Source organism: Homo sapiens, chromosome 17, assembly GCF_000001405.40.
Source record: "Homo sapiens chromosome 17, GRCh38.p14 Primary Assembly".
Taxonomy (NCBI): Eukaryota; Metazoa; Chordata; class Mammalia; order Primates; family Hominidae; genus Homo; species Homo sapiens.
Window position 1 is genome coordinate 12,205,783 of NC_000017.11, and position 24,969 is coordinate 12,230,751.

The 24,969-nt window shown below is 45.0% G+C and overlaps 1 annotated feature.

Annotated features, from left to right (window-relative positions):
• Window positions 16,185-16,773: an enhancer, noted in NCBI's record as "OCT4-NANOG hESC enhancer chr17:12125284-12125872 (GRCh37/hg19 assembly coordinates)". NCBI's record gives its function as "activates a minimal SCP1, AML or CMV promoter by ChIP-STARR-seq in primed H9 embryonic stem cells {active_cell/tissue: H9 hESC(primed)}" and the evidence as "EXISTENCE:reporter gene assay evidence [ECO:0000049][PMID:30033119]".

Below are 24,969 nucleotides of genomic sequence, written 5' to 3' on the forward strand. Positions count from 1 at the left end.
GCAGTAAGTGGGCCGGTCAGGGCACGCAGACATGGCTAGTTTAGGAAGAGCTCTCACCTGCTTTCCCTATTTCTTTCTTTTCTTTTCTTTTTCTTTTTTTTTTTTTAGACGGAGTTTCGCTCTTGTTGCCCAGGCCGGAGTGCAGTGGCACGATCTCTTCTCACTGCAATCTCTGCCTCCTGGGTTCAAGTGATTCTCCTGCCTCAGCCTCCTGAATAGCTGGGATTACAGGCGCGCATCACCACGCCTGGCTAATTTTGGTATTTTTAGTAGAGACGGGGTTTCACCATGTTGGCCAGGCTCGTCTTGAACTCCTGACCTTAAGTGATCCACCTGCCTCAGCCTCCCAAAGTGCTGGGATTACAGGTGTGAGCCACTGCACCCGACCTTCCCTACTTCTTTCTTACCTCTTTTTCTAGCATGACAAAAGAAATAGCTTATCAGAGAAAGAAGAGACCCCTGCCCAACACGGCCCGAGGGTGGTGTCTGTCGGAGGGACTTGACACACAGATGTAATCTGACCTTGCCAGTCTCAGGAATCAAGCTCCCAGTGTGTCTCTCTCTATTATTGCAGATGTCCGTAGCCTTTGTGGGGTTAATAAGGGACACCATTTCTAAACTATTTTAGAGATTACTTTACAAAGTCATAAAAACGCACAATTCTACCAACATTATATTACGGTTGCTAAAAATATCACATGACCATTGGTTAGCTCACAGCAATAGATATCCCACAGACTAATTTAATCACTGGCAGGAGGCCACGCAGTCTCCAGACAGGATCAGAATCAAACTGAGGGCTGCTAAATTTAGAAATATAAATTTGGGTTTGTTTAGAATGATTTGAAAACTGAAAGAACACATAAGCCAGGACGCAAGTGTGGTTGTCTGCTCCGAAGGCAGAGCCTTTGTGGCATTCCTTGATCGCCTTGCACTTTGGTCTGTCCTGCAGACCCAACCCTGCTTTTGGCTTTTCATTGGAAATATTAGGTCAGGGACCCACGTTTGAAAGTCAGAGCAGACCTTTGATGTCGTCTGGGCTGGACCTACATTCTTCTTCTGGATATGATACCATTGTCATTGGCTTACTGTGAGGCCTCTATGACAGATTGATTTTAGGGTGACTATAACAATTCTCCTGTTCCTCTCTTTGACGTTGGGTCAATGCTACCTACTTTTCCCACCCTGATGTAAGAATGAGTGTCTGCAGAGTCGCCTTGAGGTTTCATCTGGGGCCAGGAGGCTAACGAGTCCCGTAGGGAATGACTGAAAGGGAAAGATGGATAAAGAAAAGTTGTGCCCTACACACTCCTCTTGTTCAATGTTTACTGTGAAGAGGATTTTTTTTTTTTTTTTTTTGAGAAGGAGTCTCACTCTGTCACCCAGGCTGGAGTGCAGTGGCGCGATCTCGGCTCACTGTAAGCTCTGCCTCCCGGGTTCATGCCATTCTCCTGCCTCAGCCTCCCGAGTAGCTGGGACTACAGGCGCCCACCATCATGCCCGGCCATTTTTTTTTTGTATTTTTTAGTAGAGACGGGACTTCACTGTGTTAGCCAGGATGGTCTCTATCTCCTGTCCTCGTGATCTGCCCGCCTTGGCCTCCCAAAGTGCTGGGATTACAGGTGTGAGCCACTGCACCCGGCAGTGAAGACGACCTTAAGACACAAATGTCCTTAGCCACAGGAACTCTGGGTAGGTGGGGATTCAAGTGGGTGATGGCCAGGTATGGAAAGGGGAGTGGTGAAACTCACTCATGTTACTATTTGGGATGTTGTCCCTAAAATCACTGAGGAAATCAGCATGGTTGAGTCAAAGGGCCCTTGAGTACATATCAGCATAACCAGCCCGCTTATCCAGCCCCAAGTACTTCTCATGTGGCCTTCAGGGTATCTGTGACTCCCCTCTTCCTTGCTCAGGATGCAGGAGGAAGAGGTCTCACCCATTGTCACTACTTCCTATTACATATCCCTCTTGCTGTCCTTCAAACATGCCAAATGCTTCCATGTCCAGGCTTTTGTCTTTACACCCTGCCTGGAATGCTCTTCCAGCAGATACTTCCATGAGCTTCTTCTCTCTTTATTTAGGGGTCAGTTCAAATGTCACCTCCTCCAAGATGTCTTCCTGGAAGTCATATCTACAACGGCTCTTTTATAGCCCCATTCTCTCTTCCTGCTTTATCTTCTTAGATATAACCCATTACTGTGTATTATATATCACATCATATTGTGGATATATATACACACACACTATATATATATGATGTGATATTGTATATATACATAAATTAAAAAATATATATATATATTTTTTAGAGATGAGGTCTCCCTCTGTCACCAAGGCTGGAGTGCAGTGGCATGATCTCAGCTCACTGCAGCCTTGAACTATCGGGCTCAAGCAGTCCTCTTGCTGGGACCACAGGCACACATTATCATTCTTGGTGAATTTTTAAAATTTTATTAGAGACGGGGTCTTGCTGTGTTGCTCAGGCTAAATATTATACACTTATTTGCTTATTATCTATTTCCTCCACACAAATGCACACTACATAAGGATGCTCAATAAACAGTTGTTGAATGAATAAATGAGTGAATGAGTGATGATAATGTCCATTCCTTATACTTGGATAAAACTTTACTACAAATATGGCTGTACATTTGCATGCAAATTCAATCAGGAATTCACATCCTCATTTTTTTAATATGTTGCTTATTTCTCCCTTGGTATTGTAACCACCCTTGTAAATGTGTAATTACCGACTGAGATACAGGCTCTGAAGGGAGGCCAGATAGACCACGGCCTCCCAGAGAGAGTATCCTTTGAGCTGGGAACTGAACGGCAGTAGTCTATTGACTGGGTGAAGTGCAGCGAAGAACACTGCAGAGAAAACGGTATACACACTGTAGTTCCTCAATGTTATGGCACATATTTCTTCAGCTCTTCACCTTTCTGGCTTTGGAATAGCCTTAGAATCAATAGCCATCTCACGATCACTTTTGGTCAGGTGGCAGCCGTGACATATTGTCATTGCCTGGACTCACGAGATCTCTACTGTTGTTGGTGATGGCATGGCTGGACAACAGAAGAGCCATCTGAGGGAGGCTTATCAGTCTCAATTGCCTTCTGAAAAACTCCCACTGACACCTTCTGGTTAGGCCAAGAAAGTGCCAACATCAAAAATTTGAGAATGCCTGTCCAGGCCTTGGGGAAAAAAAAAATCTAGAAGGCAATAGAGTTGCTGGGAACTGAAGATACCGAGTCATCAACACTCTTGAGGGCTCAGAGAAAGAAAGCTCGGAGGATGTGAAATAACACAGACATCGATGCCTCAGAGCTGAAAGCGATTCAGAAGTGCCAGACTCTCAACATGAGGAGATTTTGGAAATACCGTAATCAATGAGTTCAGCATGTATTTTCATTTTTATGTAGGCACAAGAGCAATAAACGATTCAGTCCTATGTCTAAAGAAGGCTACAAGAACTCCTTTGAGAAGCATAAAATAACAATTCTGAGCATTAATCATTAAGAAAGCATAGTGTCAGAATTTCATCGGCAGAGATTTTTATTTCTTAAAGTTACATAAAGTAGCAGTACATCTTGGAATTGGTGAGATCTTGGATTGGATGGAATACAGTAAGATTGGTTTGAGGATCTGAGGGTTGGGTTGGACAGTACCAGGGGACGTGGGCAAGCGGGTGGTGAGGAGCACCCATGTTGGTCAGAGGAGGCTGATCAGTGGCCCGTCACGGTGTGCCCTGAGAAGGGATAGCTTCTTCGAGATTGAACTAATGGGCTATTTTCTGCAACACCAATGCATTCTCATATTAATAGCCTTCAGCACAGTTTAAGTGTAAGAATTACTTTGCTACTGACATTGAGAAGAAACATATGGCAGATAGACACAATACTCATTCTCCAAATCACCCCAAATAAATAGAAAAATCCCAAAGGCACCCTTAGGGATATATAGAGAAGAGAAAAGGCAAGGCTGAATTAACATCTACAGGCCAGGAAGAGGAGGTCAGATGTCTGTGGAAATACTGTTTAGCTCTCCAGGTCATTCAGTATTTGCAAGCCGTAAATGAAATTGTCCAAATTTGTTTCCTCATGAAAATGTCAGCTTGAGAGCTTAAAGTGAGTAATTCTTTTCTTATGGTTTGAAAAAAGAAGCCCACTTTATTTTGTTGCCCTCAAGACAAAAGAGGCTTTTTGTTCTTGTTCCATGTTTCCAGTTTGCTGGTACTTTTCAGATTTTCTTACATAGAGTGATGATATAAATTTTCAGGTGGAAGAAACTAGATGCTGACATGTTTGTTTGGTTTAAGCCAGAGCTGTCATCACCAATCTGCCGGGCCTGGAGGGATGGGGTTCTTGGTTCCCCCTTTCCCTGTTCCCCAGGTGAGATCTGTGACCCACAGATGACTCTTTTTTTGCAAGACATGTTAATAGGATGGTGCATAAAAGGGATATGGCTACATAATTCTTGTTAATAAATGTCCTGTTTAGTTACCTCATGTTAATTAATCTCAAAGCAAAGACAGCTGTCAGATTTTGTTTGGGTTCAAGCCTGAAAATAACTTGTAGCTTTTAAAAAATACCTAGTTTTTCTTTTCCTCTTTCTTCTTCTCCCTCTCCTCCTCCTCTTCTTCTCTTCGTCTCCTCCTCCTCCTCCCTTTCCTCCCCTTCCTTTTCTTCCTCTTCCTTCTTCCTCTCTTCCCCTTCCTCTTCCTTCTTCCTCTCTTCCCCTTCATCCTCCTCTTCCTCCCCCCACTCTTAATGTTTCTTTTTCAAAGAATAGAGCAGAGACCAATATGTAGTCATCTGGCTTGTGAGGGAATCATCAGCTGTCATAGGTGGAAAGGATGTCAATGTGCACAGAAACTGGTGGTTTTCAAGCTGCTCTGAGGAGCTGAAGGGTTTTAATACCCAATCTATGGGATGAAACTGGAAGGCCTGATGGGCGGGGCTTCCACCCCTCCTCTGATTCAGCCACAGTGCCTTGTTTTTCTTTTTGATTTTACATATGTGATTTCTGTCTCAAGTTTTGCAAGGAGAAGAAGATTTGAGTCTTGGAAAGGTCTGAAAGCTGCTGGTGCAAATCAAACCTCTCACTTACAGATGAGGAAGCTCATGTCCAGTAACGCAAAGTGATTTGCCCAAGGTCGCAAAGCTTCTTGGTAAGGGAGTTGGAGCTAGGAGTCCTTTAGTTTCCCTGTTGTCTGGGGCTGAGTAGAGAGAGGTATTATTCTGAGAAGCAGAGAGAAAATGGAACATAGGAAAGTGTACTGTGTTTCCATCTCTCTGGGATGCCGAGTAAGACAGGTCTCTTGAAACACCTCTAGGGTGACAGAAGATGGCATCTCCACGATGATCAACAAGAACAACAATTCATGTGTGAATCACTTCTTTGGCTTTTGGCTGAGATCAAGTGCAATGCACGTGTGACCTCTCGTCCTCTGGTGTCTCTGATGATTAGATGAAGACAGGTAAGTCTGCTATAGAGTCTTCAGAGTTTGTGCTGTAGAGCTGCCGCCATTTCCCAACTTCACTGCTAATACAATTTTTCTTCTATACTCTTTGGTTTATTTTTTATTATTTTTGGTGGATTCCTAGGAGAGATTTATAGAAATATGCACCAAGTCAGCCATATTTCCCAGGAAGATTTACAGTTGAGTCATACTTTGATGTATTGACCAAGGCAAAGTTTTAAGGTAAATAATTAGACATAAATAAAAACATTCCATATATTTATTATTTTATTTTTATTATTATTATTCTTTTGAGATGCAGTCTTGCTCTGTTGCCCAGGCTGGAGTGCAGTGGCACGATCTTGACTCACTGCAACCTCCACCTCCTGGGTTCAAGTGATTCTCCTGCCTCAGCCTCCTGAGTAGCTGGGACTACAGGCACCTGCCACCGCACAAGGCTAATTTCTGTATTTTTCGTAGAGACAGGGTTTTGCCATGTTGGCCAGGCTGGTCTCGAACTCCTGACCTCAAGTGATCAGCCCACTTCAACCTCCCAAACTGCTGGGATTACAGGTGTGAACCACAGTGTCTGGTCAAGATATTTATTTTTTAAAGCAATGTCTTTGTTATTACATAAAACAGTGAAGATTTTTTTGAGAGATTATACAGCATTGTAGTGGGAGACTGGTAAACTATCTCTGCTCCTTGCTAGTTATGTGACACTGGGAAAGTTACTTACCCTCTCTGTGCCTTGAATTTCCTCATCTGTAAAATGCTAATAATAATAGCACCTCCATATAGGGTTGCTATGGGGATTAAATGTGTTAATACATATTTAATTATATATACATATACATATAACAGCCAGGCTGTTATAACAATGCCTGGCTTGGGATTCACTGTGCTTTGTTAATCTGAGTATTGGTATCTCTCAACAATTCAGGGAATTGCTTTAAACGTTGTTTCTACCCCTTCTGACTGCTATAGACTGAATGTTTAGTAAAAATTAATATGTTGAAACCTAATCCCCAGTGTGATGGTATTAGGAGAAGAGACCTTTGGGAGGTGATTAGGTCATGAGAACAGTAACCTCATGAATGAGATTAGTGCCCTTATAGAAGAGACCCCAGAGGCTGGGCATGACGGCTCATGCCCATAATCCCAGCACTTTGGAAGGCTGAGGTGGGCAGATCACCTGAGGTCAGGAGTTAGAGATCAGCCTGGCCAACATGGTGAAACCCCGTCTCTACTAAAAATACAAAAAATTAGCCGGGCATAGTGGCACTTGCCTGTAGTCCCAGCAACTTGGGAGGCTGAGGCAGGAGAATCGCTTGAGCCTGGGAGGTGGAGGTTGCAGTGAGCCAAGATCAGGCCACTGCACTTCAGCCTGGGCGATGGAGTGAGACTCTATCTCAAAAAAAAAAAAAAAAAAAGTATGAGACCGCAGAGAACTCCCTTGCCTCTTCCACCATGTGAAAACACGGCAAAAAGACAGTCATCTATAAACCAAGAAGTGGGCCCTCCCCAAGAGCCAAACCTACCAGTACCTTGATCTTTGACTTTCCAGCCTCCAGAACTGTAAGAAATAAATTTCTATTGCTGATAAGCCACCCAGTCTATGACATGTTTGTTATAACAGCTGGAATAGACTAAGATACAGCCTATTGACCTCCTCAGGACTCATCTCTTTTGTATTTCTATTTCTTTGTCTCTGGAGGAACTTCTGAATAATTTTCTTGTTTCTAGCCTTTAAGTTATTCCTATTCTGATGCACTCTGTCCAGTATGCTTTGAGATCTATTTGTGATGGAGACAACTTGCTGAACACAACAGTCCGTTATCTCCTTCTTTTGTATTAATGATATTGTAGTTGGACACCTGGATACTAAGCTAGGTGACATTTCTCAGACACCTTTGCAGTTGCATGTGGCCAGGTAACTAACGCTTCAATAGAATGTGACTGGAAGTAATGTGGGCCACGTTAACAGAGCAGGTGCATCTCTTCTATAGCTTTTCTCCTTCTTGTGAGCTAGAATAATGCTATCCTAAAATTGTCTCCAGAACACAGCAAGTCCTTAAACTGTCACTGGTTTGCAATGGGATAAGTTGGAAAATGGAAAGAAAAGCACTCAGAAACACGGCAGTAATTCAACATTGTCACAATACCCAAATGTAGTCATTTTTCTGATAATTCATTTTATTACATTTTAAAAAAGGAATGGTTCAAAAGCATTGAAAAATAAAAACTATCTTATCACCTGCACCTGTGACCAGCTGAGATTAATGTCCTAGGGGATAGTTGAGAAAGAAGAAGGAAGGAACTTGCATCCCTCAGTGACCACTCAGCAGAGCAGTCTGCCTGCTGCAATGTTCACCTCGGACTTTACATGAGAGGGAATTAAACCATCATCTTTTTAAACCTGTCGAATGATTATTAGGCCTCTTTCTGTGGCAGTCAAACCTTACCTCATCACACATCCATCCCATTTTAAACCCCAATTCTTACATATTTTATTTCTAGAAATTGTATTTGATTATTTTAAATATCTCTTAATATTTAAAAATAAATTCTCATTCCTTGATCATATTTGCAAGCCTCTGTTGTTTTTTAATCTTTCAACAGTTGTTAAAACAAAGTCTTGTTTCAGCACCAAGCTGCAACAGACATGAACTTTCAAATGGAGGTGCCAAATGTCCACGTGCAGATATTCATCAGGAATTTCTGAGAAACTTGCTCTGAAACACTGAGACTCTCTCAACTACTTGAAGAATAGAAACCCAATCTCTACTAAAAATACAAAAATTAGCCAGGCATGGTGGCACATGCCTGTAATCCCAGCTACTTGGGAGGCTGAGGTAGGAGAATCGCTTGAACCCAGGAGGCGGAGGTTGCCTCCTTAATCCAAAGGATTAAGAGCATGGACAAGAAAAGATTTTGGTGAAGAAGATTTCTTCAGGAAAATTGATATTGAGATCTCCCTCCTGTCTTCACCACAAAGGCGATCCTGCACCAAAGTTGATGGGAGGCAAAACCAGAGCCTGCCCTGGGGACAGCCAGTGTCTGGGTAGACCTTGACTAACTTAAAAACTAGTTGGAAATATCTTTGTTTTACTTCTCTTTCCTTTATTTGGTTGAGGTTAAAAATTATAAAAATAGTGCATATTACCACAATCTGGGTGCCGTAAACAACAAAAGTTTATTGTCTCACAGTTCTGAAGGGCAGAAGTCTAAATTCAGGGCATTAGCAAGGCTGTGCTCCTTCTGAAGCCTCTAGGATCATTCCTTACCACTTCTGGCTTCTAGTAGCCCTAGGCAGTCCTTGGCTTGTGACAGCAAAACTCCAATTTTTCCCTGTGTCTTCTTGTGGCTGTCTTTCCTCTATCTGTGGCATTCTCCTCCCTGTATATGTCTGTGTCCAAATGGCACTCTTTTTTTTTTTTTCAGATGGAGTCTCACTTTGTTGCCCAGGCTACAAGGCAGTGGCATAATTTTGGCTCACTGCAACCTCTGCCTCCTGGGTTTAAGTGATTCTCCCACCTCAGCCTCCCAAGTAGCTGGGATTATAGGCATGCACCGCCATGCCCGGCTAATTTTTGTATTTTTAGTCGAGATGGGGTTTTTGGCATGCTGGCCAGGCTGGTCTCGAACTCCTGACCTCAAGTGATCTGCCCACTTTGGCCTCCCAAAGTACTGGGATTACAGGCATGAGCCACCGTGCCTGGCCCAAATGTCACTCTTCTTATAAGGACACCAGTTGTATTAGATTAAGGGCCCACCCTACTCCGGTATGACCACATCTTAACTAATTATTGCATCTGCAACAACCTCATTTCCAAATAAGGTCACTTTTTTGAGGTGCTGGGGGTTAAGACTTCAACATATGCTTTTTTGGGGAACACAATTCAACTCATAGCATAGGGAGAGAAAGTAAAGGGGTGGGGGGTAACGAAAAGGTGAGAAGTCCATCTTCTGAGGTCCATCTTCCCAAAACCCCTGTTTCTATTCTACTCAGTTGGTCTGTATCCTTACTTCCTCAATAAACTTTTGGTACAAACTTCCTGCTTCAAAGACTCTTGACCTTCTGAACTTCTACTTAATTCTCTACTCCATTCCTGAAGACTGCCCTCCACCCTCACCCCCACTTTATGCCTTTGTCGCCATGATGGATCCTGCTCACCATTCCTCCTCGGTGCACCCCCACTCACCTAGGTCTGCTGTGCACACAAGGTCACAGCCTTGACCTTCTTGCCCTCCCCAACAGGACACATATCTTGCCTCTTCGGCTTCTTGCCCAGCACACAATGAGACTCACATGTCCAGAAATCTTGCCTTAGAGTCCCCTTCCTCCCCAACCTCACTGATCCGACCATCTGCTAGAAGCCAAGCTCCAGCCACCTGCTTGAGGACTGCTTTTGTGTCTCAGTGCTGAGGATCCCAGGGTAAACTGCTAGGGTGAGAAAATTCTCACGTTGGCCCTTGAAATTTCCCATATTTTTCCTTTAGGACTAGTATGGCAGTTATATCCATTTGTCAAAATACAGGGACCAGTGCTTGTAAAGGAGGAAAATATAACTGTTGGAGAAACATTTACTGTTAGAAAATCTTCATGTGAAGTGTATAAAATTAAATTGAGGCTTGGAGTTCAAACTTCTTCCCCTGATTAATCCTTTGTGTTTCTATGAATACACTAGTAAAATACAAGCCCAGTATGTTGGAAAAACAATACCTTAAACCTTTGAGTGAGGTTGACCCAGGAGCACTGAATAGCTTACTTGAGATGGTAGTTTCCTGAGGAGATACCTCCCAGAAGGCTGTGTTAGGTTGGTGAGAACTTTGCGTTGAGCATTAGGGAGCTGAAGCAAGTCTTTTCACCATTCTGGATTTTGGTTTCCTCACCTGCAATAGCACAGGGTAAGTGAGTTCTTTCAGCCTTACCATTCCAATTATTTTAAAAAATGATCAAAATCTTTTAAATTTGGGATTACAGGCATGTGCCACCATGCCTGGCTAATTTTCAATTTTGGGGGGAACAAAATTCAACTCATAGCATAGGGAGAGAAAGTAAAGGGATGGGGAATAACAAAAAAATGAGAAGTCCATCTTCTGAGGTCCATCTTCCTAAAACCCCTGTTTCTGTTCTACTCAGTTGGTCTGTATGCTTACTTCCTTTAGGAATAGTATAGCATTAAGCACATTAAGCCTGTTAAATATTTACATCCCGATTCAATACATTTATACACTTTTGTTGCCAGAAAATAATACAGTGACCTTTTATTTCTGTAACAATACTCACTCTACCCAAACCTAGGAGACAAATAAATCTACAAGTTATTTACAGAAAATTTAAAAACTATATGAATCTGGAAAACTTACAGCCCTCAATTCAACTTTCTGAAATTCAGGGTTTCATTTTTTTCCCCCAAACACACGAGCCAGTCTAAATTTTTTTTTATCTGAACACATTGTCCAGATACATCTTGATCCATCCCTTTCATGAAGGAATGCAGCCAAAAGTTTCTTCCTCCCTGAAAAGCAATTCTCTAAATCAAGACCAACTTTTTAATGATTCAAAGTCAAAGACGCATTTTGGATGTTGCAAAAAGCCGTTTAGCCAGAAGACCATGCTTCTCATTTGCCCTAATGAAGCAGTGGCTTAAGGTTTGGGAAAAGTTCTTTGGAGATTATGTACGACTATATCTACAGGTACATAGAGCCATTCAAAGTAGAATTTTGCAACCATATTTTCAGGCGATCACAGAAGTCTCTCATAAAATCAATTCTTCATTTTAAAAAAAGTTATATTATTTAAAGTACAATCTATGTGTACATAGACTAATAATTTGGCCAGAAATGTGTGTAGCCTGTTTGGGACTCAGGAGTGCAGTGGTGGTTTGGAAACAGATTGGGGTTGGCTGGTAGCTGTGGACATTCACTGGTGGCACATTTGGTATCCATTTCCTTTCTGCTTCCTTCCCCTTTGGAGGAAGCATCTGCCTGCATTTTGTGGCTGCCTAGCATTTTGTTTGGAGTTCCAGGGTAAGCGCTGCTTGGAATAAGCACATCTAGGAAATCCCATCTCGTTTGGATTAGCCAAACAGGCTGCTATGCTCTAAATGTTTGTGTCCTCCCAAAATTCATGTTGAAATCCTACCCCATAAAGTGATAGTATTAACAGGTGAGGGCTTTGGGAGGTGATGAAATCACAAGGGTAGAGCCTCATGAATGGGATTAGAGCACTCATTAAAGAGGCCTGAGAGAGACCCCGTTGGCCCTCCTGCCATGTAAATGGGCCCTCACCAGACACCACATTTCCTGGCCCATTGATCTTGGACTCTCCAGGCTCCAGAACTGAGAGCAAGAGATTTCTGTAGTTTAGAAGCTACCCAGTCTATGGTATTTTTCTAGAGCACCCCAAAAGGACTAAGACACAGCCCATAGCTTTCCTCTGGCCACAGGGATTTGCTCAGAGTTGCTCGGGTAGCATAAAAATCAGGGGCCGGGCGCGGTGGCTCATGCCTGTAATCCCAGCACTTTGGGAGGCCAAGGGTGGGGGGGGGGAGCGGATCACGAGGTCAGGAGTTCAAGACCAGTCTGACCAACATGGTGAAACCCCGTTTCTACTAAAAATACAAAAATTAGCCAGGCGTGGTGGCACGCGCCAATGATCCCAGCTACTCAGGAGGCTGAGGCAGGAGAATAGCTTGAACCCCAGGGGGGTGGAGGTTGCAGTGAGCAGAGATCGCACTACTGCAAAAAAAAAAAAAGAAAGAAAAAAAAGAAACTCAGGACTTCTGTGGGAAATGGCTCTGTTTGAGGAATCATAAAGCCCTAGTTTCTGCTGCTGGTAGCGACTTTACCATCATGAGGAAGGCAAAGCTGATATGAGCTAAGACGAAAACATGAGCGAATTGCAGAGAACTCTTGTGGTGAGAGTGGGGAACAGTGGAAGGAGGGAGGAGACAGTGAACACAAACCAATAAATAAATGAGGTGAGCATGCAAATAAATGAAATGGGGTCATATGATGTGTGGTGAAGAGAGGATGGGAGCCTGCCTTTGATGGGCTGGGCAGGGAGACGTGTGCCACAGCCCCATTGTGGACGCCAGGAAGCTGAGCTAGGGGGATTTCACATGAATGAGGGCATCGGCCATGTGTCTTTGCAGCAGACTTACAGTATGTATGTGTCAATTCCTCGGGACTCGGTGGACCTGACCCTCTTGTGTCTTTCCTGGCCTCTGGTGTCATAGATCCTGTGCAGTGTCTTGCTCACTTCAGTGGGTCCAAGTTTAGGTTTTTGCAGTTTCGCAAAGGGGTGTATGAACAAAAGGAAATAAACACATTTGTGTCTTACCCTTAGACTATGTCTGCTGAAAGAGAAGGAGACGGATTTTACCTTGGAGCGTCCCTCCCGGAAGACTTGCCAAGGAATGCACTTTGGACTGGAAGAATTTCCACAGCTGTGTGGAGGGTGGTGTTCTGATGGCCAAGCCCCAAATGATGTTGTTGGCCCATGTGGAAGACTTGATCTTTGCAGGGAGGTCAAGGAAACCTAGCAAAAATGATGGAAGGTAGGAAGGCAAGAATGGTAGGAGAAATATGAAAAGAATTGGGAGTTTTTCTCCTTGAGCAGAGGCACCTAAAAGCAGACAACTTTTACATAGTAGCTTGATTTTGAGGAAGTCCTTTTTCTGGGCCTCAGTTTGCTCATCTGGGAAATGAAGGAGATTAACAATATGATCCATACAGTTGCTTTCGGCCCTAAATTCTGTGATTCGAGGAAAAATTACATATATGAAAGATTTTTATGCATAAGCAAGGGTCTGTTTTCCAACTCCATTGCAACAAAAGAGGAAAATATGAGATCTGAAGCAGAACTTCTTGACTTTGAGAATTTTTTCTCTAGGAGAAAACAATGGATGTTTTAAAATGCCAGTTTCTTGGAAATTTATAAGGAAATAATACATTGCTATTTTTTTTTCTGGGATGAAATTATCTAAAGGATCCACCCCCTAAAAATGTGAATTTGAATTTGCATGGAAGTTAATATATTAAAATGTAAACGCCAGGTTCTAAGTTCTTAAAAAAAGTTCTTGCATGTCAGCAGGGGAGGTGTGAGGTGACTTCTTTAGCAAGTTACTTGTGCATTTTTAGCTATATGAATCCCTCTTAAAGAGGAGATACTTTCTAAATTGAGCAAGTGCGTTTTATAATCCTGAGATGGACACAGAGCAAAATTTGGAAGCATTAGTTTTTAAAAAAATATTATTAAAACCATGCTCTAAGTTTAAAAAATGTGGAAGGCAGAGTAACGTATCTTCCATCTCCCCAAGATAGCCAAGTGCTTATCCTAGGAGTTTGCAATATGTTAATTTACAGGGCTAAAGAGAGTTTGCAGATGTGCTTAAAGTAAGGATTTGAGATGAGATTATCCTGGGTTGCCCAATGTAATCATAGGAGCTCCGAAAAGATGGAAGAGGGAGGCAGAGAAGGAATGTGTCCACAGAAACAGAGCCTGGAGTGATGTGATTGGCAGAAGGGGCATTAGCTAAGGAATTCACCAGTCTGCTAGAATCCAGAAAAGGCAACAAAACAAATTATCCCTCAGAGCCCCTGCAGGCAGCATGGCCCCACTGACACCTTGATTTTGGCCCAGTGAACCCATTTCAGGCCTCTGATTTCCAGCACTGTAAGATAATAAATGTTTGTTGTTTTAGGCATTATGATTGTGGTCATTTGTTACAGCAGATAGGAAATTCATACAAAAAGAGAAGGCAAAATGAATTGATGCAGGAAAAAACAGTTAAGAAAAGGAGCAGGAGAGTCAAGATGAACAGGAAACAGAAGGAGCAGAAGAGTCAAGATGAACAGGAAACAGGAGACGCAAAACTGGGCTCCGGAGGGGCCAGGGGTGCTGCTGCCAGGGGCTGTGGACCTGGGCTGCTGATCTCCTGGAAGCAGGTGGAATGTGTGGGGCCAGAGGGGCTAAGAGAGGAAGAAGGTGATGGGCTGTGAGGGTAGTCAGAACAACGTTCCCTGCCTAGTTGTCCCAGTGATACGGCTTCAATGGCTGGAGGAACACCATGGTTCTTAGTCTCGCACCGATTTTGATAAAACGACACGGACACACGTGGAGTGGTTCTAAGGAGCGAAAAGTTTATTAGGCAAGAAAGAAGGAAGGAAGGAAGAAGAAAACAGCTCCCCTGTACAGAGACAGAAGGAGGGGGGGATTCGAACAAAGAGAAAACCCTGTGTGCGGTGGAAAAGTGGCTGCTTATATTCCTATGCTGGTGGAGGTGATGTCTGATTTGCATAGGGCCCAGGGGATTGGTTTGACCAGATGTGTCATTTACGTAACCCGTGAAAAACCTGGCCCTCCAACCTAAGCCCTTTAAATACGTAAATGTGGGTTGCCATGATGTTCTGAACACACGGTGTTATCTGGAGGTGGCCATGACACTTGGTACACCTGGCGATGAGAGGTGACAGCATGCTGGCAGTGCTCGCAGCCCTCGCTCGCTCTCGGTGCCGCCTGGCCTCGGCGCCCATTCTGGCCGCGCTTGAGGAGCCCTTCAACCCGCCACTGCACTGTGGGATCCCCTTTCTGGGCAGGCCAAGGCCGGAGCCAGCTCCCTCAGCTTGCAGAGAGGTGTGGAGGGAGAGGCGCGGGCGGGAACCGGGGCTGCGTGCCGCGGCGCTTGCGGGCCAGCGCGAGTTCCGGGTGGGCGTGGGCTCGGTGGGCCCCGCCCTCGGAGCGGCCGGCTAGCCCCGCCGGCCCGGGCAGTGAGGGCCTTAGCACCTGGGCCAGCAGCTGCTGTGCTCGGTTTCTCGCCGGGCCTTAGGTGCCTCCCCGCGGGGCAGGGCTCGGGACCTGCAGCCCACCACGCCTGAGCGCCCCCGCCCCCCGCCGTGGGCTCCTGCGCGGCCGGAGCCTCTCCGACAAGCGCCGCCCCCTGCTCCACGGTGCCCAGTCCCATCGACCGCCCAAGGGCTGAGGAGTGCGGCCGCACGGCGCGGAACTGGCAGGCAGCTCCACCTGCAGCCCCGAGCAGGATCCACTGGGTGAAGCCAGCTGGGCTCCTGAGTCTGGTGGGGACTTGGAGAACCTTTATACCTAGCTAAGGGATTGTAAATACACTAATCAGCACTCTGTATCTAGCTCAAGGTTTGTATATACACCAATCAGCACCCTGTGTCTAGCTCAGGGTTTGTGAATTCACCATTAGGCACTCTGTATCTAGTCAGTCTGGTGGGGACTTGGAGAACCTTTATGTCTAGCTAAGGGATTGTAAATACACCAATCAGCACTCTGTATCTAGCTCAAGGTTTGTAAACACACCAATCAGCACTCTGTGTTTAGCTCAGGGTTTGTAAATACATCAATGGACACTCTGTATTTAGCTAATCTAGTGGGGACGTGCAGAGCTTTTGTGTCTAGCTCAGGGATTGTAAATGCACCAATCAGTACCCTGTCAAAACGGACCAATCAGCTCTCTGTAAAACAGACCAATTGGCTCTCTGTAAAATGGACCAATCAGCAGGATGTGGGTGGGGCCAGATAAGGGAATAAAACCAGGCTGCCCGAGCTAGCAGTAGTAATTTGCTTGGGTCCTCTTCTAATGTGTGGCAGGTTTGTTTTTTCGCTCTTTGCAATTAAATCTTGCCATTGCTCACTCTTTGGGTCCACACTGCTTTTATGAGCTGTAACACTCACCGCGAAGGTCTGCAGCCTCGCTGCTGAAGCCAGCGAGACCACGAACCCACCGGGAGGAACGAACAACTACAGCTGCGCCGCCTTAAGAGCTGTAACACCGCGAAGGTCTGCAGCTTCACTTCTGAGCCAGCGAGACCACGAACCCACTAGAAGGAAGAAACTCCGGACATGCCCCCTTTAAGAACTGTTAACACTCAGCGCGAGGGTCCGAGGCTTCTTTCTTGAAGTCAGTGAGACCAAGAACCCACCAATTCTGGACACAGTGACAAGGAAAAGACAGCGGTAATTGCCACATTGAGTGAACCAAGTTTCTAAATGGCTGGCATTTGCATATTAAAGGTTGCCTGCCCGGCCCTTCAAGCCACCTTTTCTGTTAGAAAAGAGATGGTTCGGGGCTGTTTTTTTATTACAGGAAAATTTCCTCCGAGAACCTTTACCCTGAGTAGCTGCCTGGAAATTATTTCTTAAGAACACCTGTATCACCAGCCTGCATCTCCCTCAAAGCAGAACCTGAGATAAAAAGGCTTCTGTGTGAGTGTTTTTTCTGAGAATGAGGGAAATACAGAAAGACGGTGGAAGTGGGGAAGGAAAGCTCCTAAGAGTACGCAGTATTGAAATGGTCCCTGCCTGCAGGTGGCTGGTTTCTGACCAGGGTAGGTGTGCCGCCAGGCCTGGTGAGAGGGGCTCTTGCTTTTCTAGACACTGCCTCCCTGTGCTCTACCATGCTGTAGACTCATTTCTATTAATGAGTTGCTCCGTCAATATGCAACTCACATTTGGTGACAATTATTTTCATTAAATAACCAGATGAACAGCCTCTCTGAGTATTTGAGTAAAGAACAAAGGCCGTTTTGGGGGAAGTCGGACCTGAATGGGTCTTGGTGCACAAGAAGCTGAGAAAGCAGGAGAGAAGAATCCAGAGGAAAAAGAGGGATTCACACAGGAGGTAGGTGAATTCTCCCAAATACACTTTTCTAATGTTTGTTTTTTCTTTTCTTTTCTTTTCATTTTTTTTTTTGAGATGGAGTCTCACTCTTGTAGCCCAGGCTGGAGTGCAGTGGCGTGATCTCGGCTCACTGCAACCTCTGCCTCCCAGGTTCAAGCGATTCTCCTGCCTCAGCCTCTCAAGTAGCTGGGGTTACAGGCGCATGCCACCACGCCTGGCTAATTTTTGTATTTTTAGTGGAGACGGGGTTTCACCATGTTGGTCAGGCTGGTCTCGAACTCCTGACCTCAAGTAATCCACCCACCTCGGCCTCCCAAAGTCCTGGGATTATAGGTGTGAGCCACCATGCCCGGCCTAATGTTTGTTTTTCCTTAGGGACTTTGGTGGCAGCCAGTGAGCTGATGCCTAGACCTGGGGATTAGAACTCTTCAGTGTTACCTTCATCGGAAGCCTGGCCTTCTCATTCCACCTCACCTCCTTCTAGCTGTGTCCTTTCTGGGGTGCACACATCTCTCGAGAGCAGGGAACAATCTGCTGACTTTAGGGAATGCTATTGGCCTCATGATGCTCCCTGGTATCACAGGGACAGTTTAAATATTTCAAATTTGAGGGCTAGGAATCCCTTTGGGCTCTCTGACCCTTATCACCATTGTGGCATTTTAATAATTTCATCTTAGTCATCTACTCACTGCTCTCCACTTAAACCATTCATCATAATTTGTGGTTGGCGTTATCTGGACAGGTTGGGGGAATGAGCTGCAATTGTGACTTCTGCCCCCAATTCAATGATATTTATTCTGGGTAGGGTCTTTCACCAATCTCATTTTGTCTTAGTGGTCTCTCAGCATTTTTGAAACACGTGCCCATGAGCATAGGAAAGTCCCCAAAGAAGGGGGGACACTTCCAACTACTCAGCAAGAAGGACCTTTTTCAGATTCCCCCGTGTCCTTCTTGGATTACTATGATCAGGACCCAGCATCAGTCTGCAGGGAAAGTGCTAATAGCGCATGCATTTTACTGACTAATTGGAGAAAAAGGAGGAAGGGAGACCAATGTTCTGAGACTAAAGGGGATGCAGATCTCCCCATGTGGCTTTGTCCCATCCATAGATAAGGAAATCCAGGATAGGTCCTACATCCAGGAATAAGCCTCACCCAGGAGCGTTTTGGTCCCCTTCTTAAAGCCTCACTATGGGGAGTCAGAACTCTTGGAAAGTAGCTCCTCCCACAGGCTCTTATTGAGACAAATGTTCTAGGCTCAAGCCTTGGATGTTTCAGGGCTCCCTGATTTTGTGTCCTATTGAGGTGGAGACAATGCCACAGGTGCACTTGCTTTGTTTCTTCCTTTCCCTGGACACTGGGGAAGACTGTTACTTCCAGCCTTCCTAGCAGGTGGGTTGGGAGCATGTGACTAATTCTGGCCAATGAGTGAAATGGAAGAGACACGCATCACTTTTGCGCTGAAACGTGGCTGAGTGGGAAGGAGGTCTCCAGGCTTTCCCATCTCGTGCAGAGACTCCCACCAACCCCCTCTGGATGTGTAGCATAAGGGAGAAGTAAATCCTCACTGAAATTTTGAGACTAACTTGTTACCACAGCATAACCTCGCTGATTCTGATTATTAGCAAGGATAGCCCGTGTAATAGTTTGGACATTTGGAAATTTTCTTTCTCATTGAAATTTCCCACATTTTCTTTTCTTTCCTTCTTAATGCATTTAAGTGCTTATTCTATATTGAGAATATAATGGGAGGAAACAAATAATTCTTGAAAGAGAAATTGCAAAACGGGTGATGTTTAACTGGAGTTGTTTCATGCTTGGTACCCTGTGGGGGTATAACTCGGATGGTGGAGTAAATGGAGAGTGACACAGATTTTGGCCAGATAGAGCCATAGGGAGTGACGTCTGGGGCAGGGTGTATTTATGCTATCAAGATGGCATTTCTGGTCACAGCGGCCCGCTTTCCTTTTAATAGTTTCTATATTCCTACTCTGTATAAAACTCTGTGTTTAAGTGTGAGCACAGAGCCACAGGTCATATTTGGCCAGGATTGGAGAGAGTAGGGGAGGAAGAATTCATTGGCAGATGAGGACACAGCACAAATTTGGATTTTGGCATGCGTTTTCCAGCAGTTGCATGAAGGAAACCCAATCTTCCCTTCAAGACATCTCATTTTTGCCTTCCACCTGGACTTGTTCTCGGGGATCTGCTTTCCAGTCCAAAGGGACCGTTTCCTTTCTGTCCCTCAATGCCTGTGCTAGTTGTTATTTGCCGTGATGTCTGTTGCTATCGTTCCTTTATTTCAATTCCACTCCTGGGCCTGGCCTTCTAGGAGGCTCTCCATGCTCCCAACAGTTCTCTCCCCCATAACTCCCTGGCCATTAACCTGTTTTATTGTCATGGTTTGATGGTGAAAAGTTGCTCTTTGCTTTCCAAAATGACAGCTAGCTGATGCGTTTGTCCCATCCCTATCATTGTGGGCACTTATGTGGATGGCTGATTTCATAGGAATGGGGAGGGATATGGATTCACTTCTTCCTGCCAAAGTGGGTAAAAATATACCACAGTCCTTCCCCCAAAGAGGTAGATATTTGAGCCAGTTCTTTATCTGCCTCAGAGCAAGGATTCTCAGTGCTGGCTGCAAAGTCGAACCACCCGCAGGGTTTCACTAATACTAATGTACAGCTCCGTCTTCATATAAAGAGATCGGTTTTTTCTTTTTTGGAGTTGGGTGTTGGCGTTCATTTAATCATTCACTAATCAACAATCAACAGTGATTGATGAATGATGATCAAGTGATGTCTTATGCTACGGACTATCCTAGGGGCTGGGGATATAGTGATAAGAAAGACAAACCCGCTTCCCCATTCCAGCGGAGGTTACATTGTAGTTGAGGAGTGAGGACAGGCACTAAATAAGCCTCACAATAAGTAACCAGAGTAATTTCAGACGGTGACATGTGCTGTGGATGAAGGTAGGGAGTGTAATGGAGGGAGCCTGAGGCAGGTGTGTTGTTCACTTAATATGGATGCTTCTGGAAGGTTCACCGAGAAGGTGACAATGAGGCTGGTATTTGAAAGGCAGGAGGTGACCTGTCATGAAATGTCTGGGGCGGAGTGGTCAAGGCTGAGGGAACTGGGGATTCACCTGTCCTCAGACAAGAATTGGCTTAGGATACTTCAGGACCAATAAACAAGGCCAGTGTGCCTTGAGGAAGAAACTGATGGCAGAAAACCAAGGTAGAGAAATGAAAAAACGGATAGACATAGAGTCAGATCTGCAGGGTGCAGGCTTGCTGGGAGAAATGATTTGCCTCCATAGTAGTGATTTCTAAAGGTGAAAGCAGGCAGCTTCTCACCACCAGCCAACTACCCAGGCGTTCTGAGGCAGCCAGGTCTACGGGCAGGTTCCTCTCACGCCCCCCATCCTTCCCTCCTGTTTCTGGGACCTGTTGGGACCACTGTGCAGGTGGGACAGGTTGCTGTGGCAGTGCTGTGTCCTGCTTTGCCTGGGGCCTGAAGTCCAAGTCTTCTCTTTCTTTGAGAGCAACGTGGATCAGGTTGTGTCTTTTCTGGACCTCAGTTTCTTTATAGGATGTCGTGAGGATGAAAGAGTAGCATGTGTGAGGTTGCCTCCCACGTCTGTTCATCTGAGACACAGAACACACTTGGGGAACATTGGTTTCCATTCCTCCTTCTCTGAAATAGCAAAAAAGGACAGAGAAAAGACACTTTCTTTTCCCAACAATTTTGAATGACAGTAACAGAACTCTGTATCTCTTACTGAAAACTAATTTTATTGAGGTTCAACTGATATATAAAAAGCTGTACATATATAGGGCTGGACGCGGCTGCTCATGCTTGTAATCCCAGCACTTTGGGAGGCGAGGCAGGTGGATCACCTGAGATTAGGAGTTCGAGACCAGCCTGACCAACATGGCAAAACCCTGTCTCTACTAAAAATACAAAAAATTAGCTGGGCATGGTGGTGCATGCCTGTAGTCCCAGCTACTTGGGAGGCTGAGGCGGGAGAATGGCATGAACCCGGGAGGCAGAGCTTGCAGTGATCCAAGACCGCACCACTGCACTCCAGCCTGGGTGACAGAGTGAGACTCCATCTCAAAAAAAAAAAAAAAAATCATGAAACCATCATCACCAACAAGGCCATAGACATACTCAACACCTTTCAAAGTTTCCTCCCATCCCCATTATCATGATTATTATTGTGGTAAGAACAGTTAAGACAAGATCTAGTCTCTTAACAGATCTAATTATACTATATACTAACTATACTCCCTGTGTTGTGTGTTGTATCTCTTACGTAACTGGAACTTTGTACCCTTTGACCATCTCCCCACTTCTCCCACTCCCCAGCTCCTGGAAACCATCGTTCTACTCTCTGCTTCTATGAGCTGAACTATTTTAGATGTTACGTATCAGTGGACTCATGCAGCATTTGTCTTTCTGAGTTGGCTTATTTCACTTAGCATAATGTCCTTTGGGTAGATCCATGTTGTTGCAAATAGCAGGATTATCTTCATTTGTAAAGGCTGAGTAATATTCCATTGTGTATAGATGCCAGATTTTCTTTATTCATTCATCTGTGGAAGGACATTTAGGTCATTTCCATATCTTGGCTATTGTGAATAACACCACAATAAATCTTGATGAAATCTCATTGAGAAATAAACAACGTGTAACTATGATTGCTTTTAAACCTGAGGAATGGCTGCTGCCCAGACTGAAAGAAAATCGAAAATACTGCTGTTATCTGACTCCCAGAATAGCCGGCTCCTCCTCACTTAACTCTTACAGTTAATCTCCAGCCCCCAGAGGTGGGCCTCTTACACTTCCTTATCAGGGCACAGAGCATTTCTCAGGCGCTCTTTCCATACACGAAGGACCATAGTTTTAGCTGCAAGATCTGAGTTTATGTCCAGTCTTTATTTAACAAACAAATGTGTTCTAAGCTGCATTTTGCTTTCTACTTCCTGAAGTTAATAACTATTCTCATTGCGCGCTCCTTTCCCAGCAAAAAATTGTGGGACTTGAATAATGGAGTATTTTCCTGTCTCCAGTTGGATGACAAGAACTTAAAATTATTTTTAGAAACGCAGTTGCCCAGAGTGAGTGTAATTCTAACAGGGTTGTCTCCACTCCCTGTTTGTTTTAGCTGGTTCTCACTATGTTTGAATGAGAGTGCAGGCCAAACCACAGTCAACTCTGAATCCTTGTAAAAAACCTCCCTAGCTCGGCTGTTGAGGAGTGCTACAGGTAATACCCCGTTTTGATGGTTTCCTGTTGTGTTGTCATTTGCCTATATACATGTCAGTCACATATTAAGATTCTCCAGAGAAACAACATCTATATCTATATCTTTATCTATCTATCTATAGATATGTCTCTAACTCTATCTATAGATATGGCTGTATCTACAGATATCTCTGTGTGAGAGGAGATTTATTGTAGAAATTGGCTCACTTGGTTATGGAGGCTGAGGAGTCCCACAATCTGCCATCAGCAAGCTGGAGAACCAGAGAATCCAGTGGTGTAATGTTCAGTCTGAGTCTGAAGGCCTGAGAATCGGGTGGTGCAGTGGTTTGAGTCCCAGTCCGAGCCCAAAGGCTCGAGAGCCAGGAAGGCAGAAGCTGGATGTCCCAGCAGACATGGCAAGAATTTGCCCTGTCTCTGTCTTTGTGATCTATTTGGGCCCTCAGTGGATTGGGTGGGCCCTCAGTGGGTTGGATGGGCCTACAGTGAATTAGATAGGCCCTCAATGGATTGGATGGGCCTGCAGTGGATTGGATGGGCCCTCAATGGGCTGGATGGGCCCTCGGTGGATTGCATGGGCCCACAGTGGGTTGAATGGGTTCTCAGTGGATTGGATGAGCCCTCAGTGGGTGAATGGGCCCTCTGTGAGTTCGATGGGCCCTCAGTGGATTGGGTGGTGCTAACCTGCATGGGTGAGGATGGATCTTGTTTATGCGCTCCACTGGTTCAAATGTTAATCTCTTCCAGAATCACCCTGACAAATACATTGAGAAATACTGTTTTATCATCCCTTAGCCCAGTCAAGTTGACACATCATAAAATTAACCATGACAGTCACAGAATATTGTCCTATACTCAAGTCATAACTTGTCATGTAGACAAGTTAGCATCCATAAGGTACAGTGGTCATAGAATCTGAACACTTGTCTGGGAGTCATGGCTTTGCTACTTTCTAACCATGTTGCTCTCACACCTTTAAATGGAGAGAGGACCGCACCATACTCACAATGGAATCAACCTCTTATGACCTTTGTGAGAACTGAAATCTGGGTTTTGCAAACTCTGAAAAGTCTCTGAATACCAGAGGTTCCTGAGAGTCTTCCTACAGCTCAGGAGTGTGCTCAGTTGCCAGGAGGGAGGCTGAGCTCTTGGGACATTCAAAGTGAGAGGATGTTCCTAACACTTCATTCTAGCAGCTCCAAGGAGCTAGACAGAGAAAAGAGAAAATGAGAAGAGGCACAGTCTTGAGTTGGTGTGAGGCAATGGCAGGGGGAGGCAACAGCTTGTGAGGACAGGGAGGAGAAGTAGCCCTTCCAACATTTCCTAGACGATAGTGCCTGGTGTGTGGTCTGGCCTCATCGCTGGCTTGGCGCCTTCCTTGCTTCTCTGTTAGCCGACATCGGAAGTTGCTGCTTCTCCTTTGCTCAGGGCCAGGTGGCCTGTGAGACTCACAAGGCTCTCCAAGAGGGGAACTTGCCTCCTCCCCTAATTGCCTTCATTCTTGTGTCATCATGTAGAAAATCATTTACACTGAAGTGGAATTTAGCCTGGCTTAGCTGTGAGTATCTGGATTTCCACTTTCATACAATACAAAGGCAAATTACAGCATCACCGTTAACAGTGGCTGGACCCTGGAGACCTCATGACTTTCCAGGCTCCTCACTTGCTGGTGTGCACTGTGCTAGGGCTGTGGCGAGGGTTAAATGTGGCCATGCACCTGTCATTGGTCAGCCCCCGGTGTGGTTCAGAGGGACGTGATAGAAGAATTATGTACTTTCAGAATTTCAGCCTCTAGTTTATAGATGAGACCATGAAAATGATTTGTCTACGCTCATACAACTCATTAGTGGCTGGTCTGGGACAAAGCTCCAGTCCCCTGATAGCCACTCAAGGTGCTCTTCTCACTTGTGCGTGGCTGAGAACACAAGGAAAGGAGAACTTGCCTCATCTTTATGGCTGGGGCTAGAGCAGAGTGACATAAATGTAACTGGGTTTATGTGTCCCAAAAGACGAGGGCTGCTAGGTAAAATACAGGATGCCCAGGTCAGCAAAGGCTTTTTGGGATGTACTTACACTAAACATTTATTTGCTGTTTATCTGAAATTCAGACTGAACTGGGCATCCTCCATTTTTATTTTCTAGGTCTGGCAACCCTGTGAGAGATGAAATTCACATTAAAACTATTTAGCAAACCAAACGATGGCTATGTAACCTTGTCTTGGTCTCCACTTAGAGGCAGAATCTCAGTGCTTTCTGAAAGTTCTTAGGAGGCCTGTAGCTACATCTGCAGTGGTGCCAAATCTCCATATGAAACCAGAACAATTCAATCGCTTATTCACAGTCTAGATGTTTGCACCGGGTAGACAAAATATTGAAATGTTTGGCAGAATTGCTCAATTGTCCTTTGGAAGTCTGGCATCTTGCAGCTGCAGCCTTGGAGTTCATCCTGTGCTGGGACAGTATCTACAGCCCAGCTCTCTGATCTGTGATGACCCTGTAGTGTCTCTCCCCTCCTTTCTTAATGAGGCTGGGACATGCTACTAGAATTTTCAAGGATTTAGCTGAAGTCTGGACATGC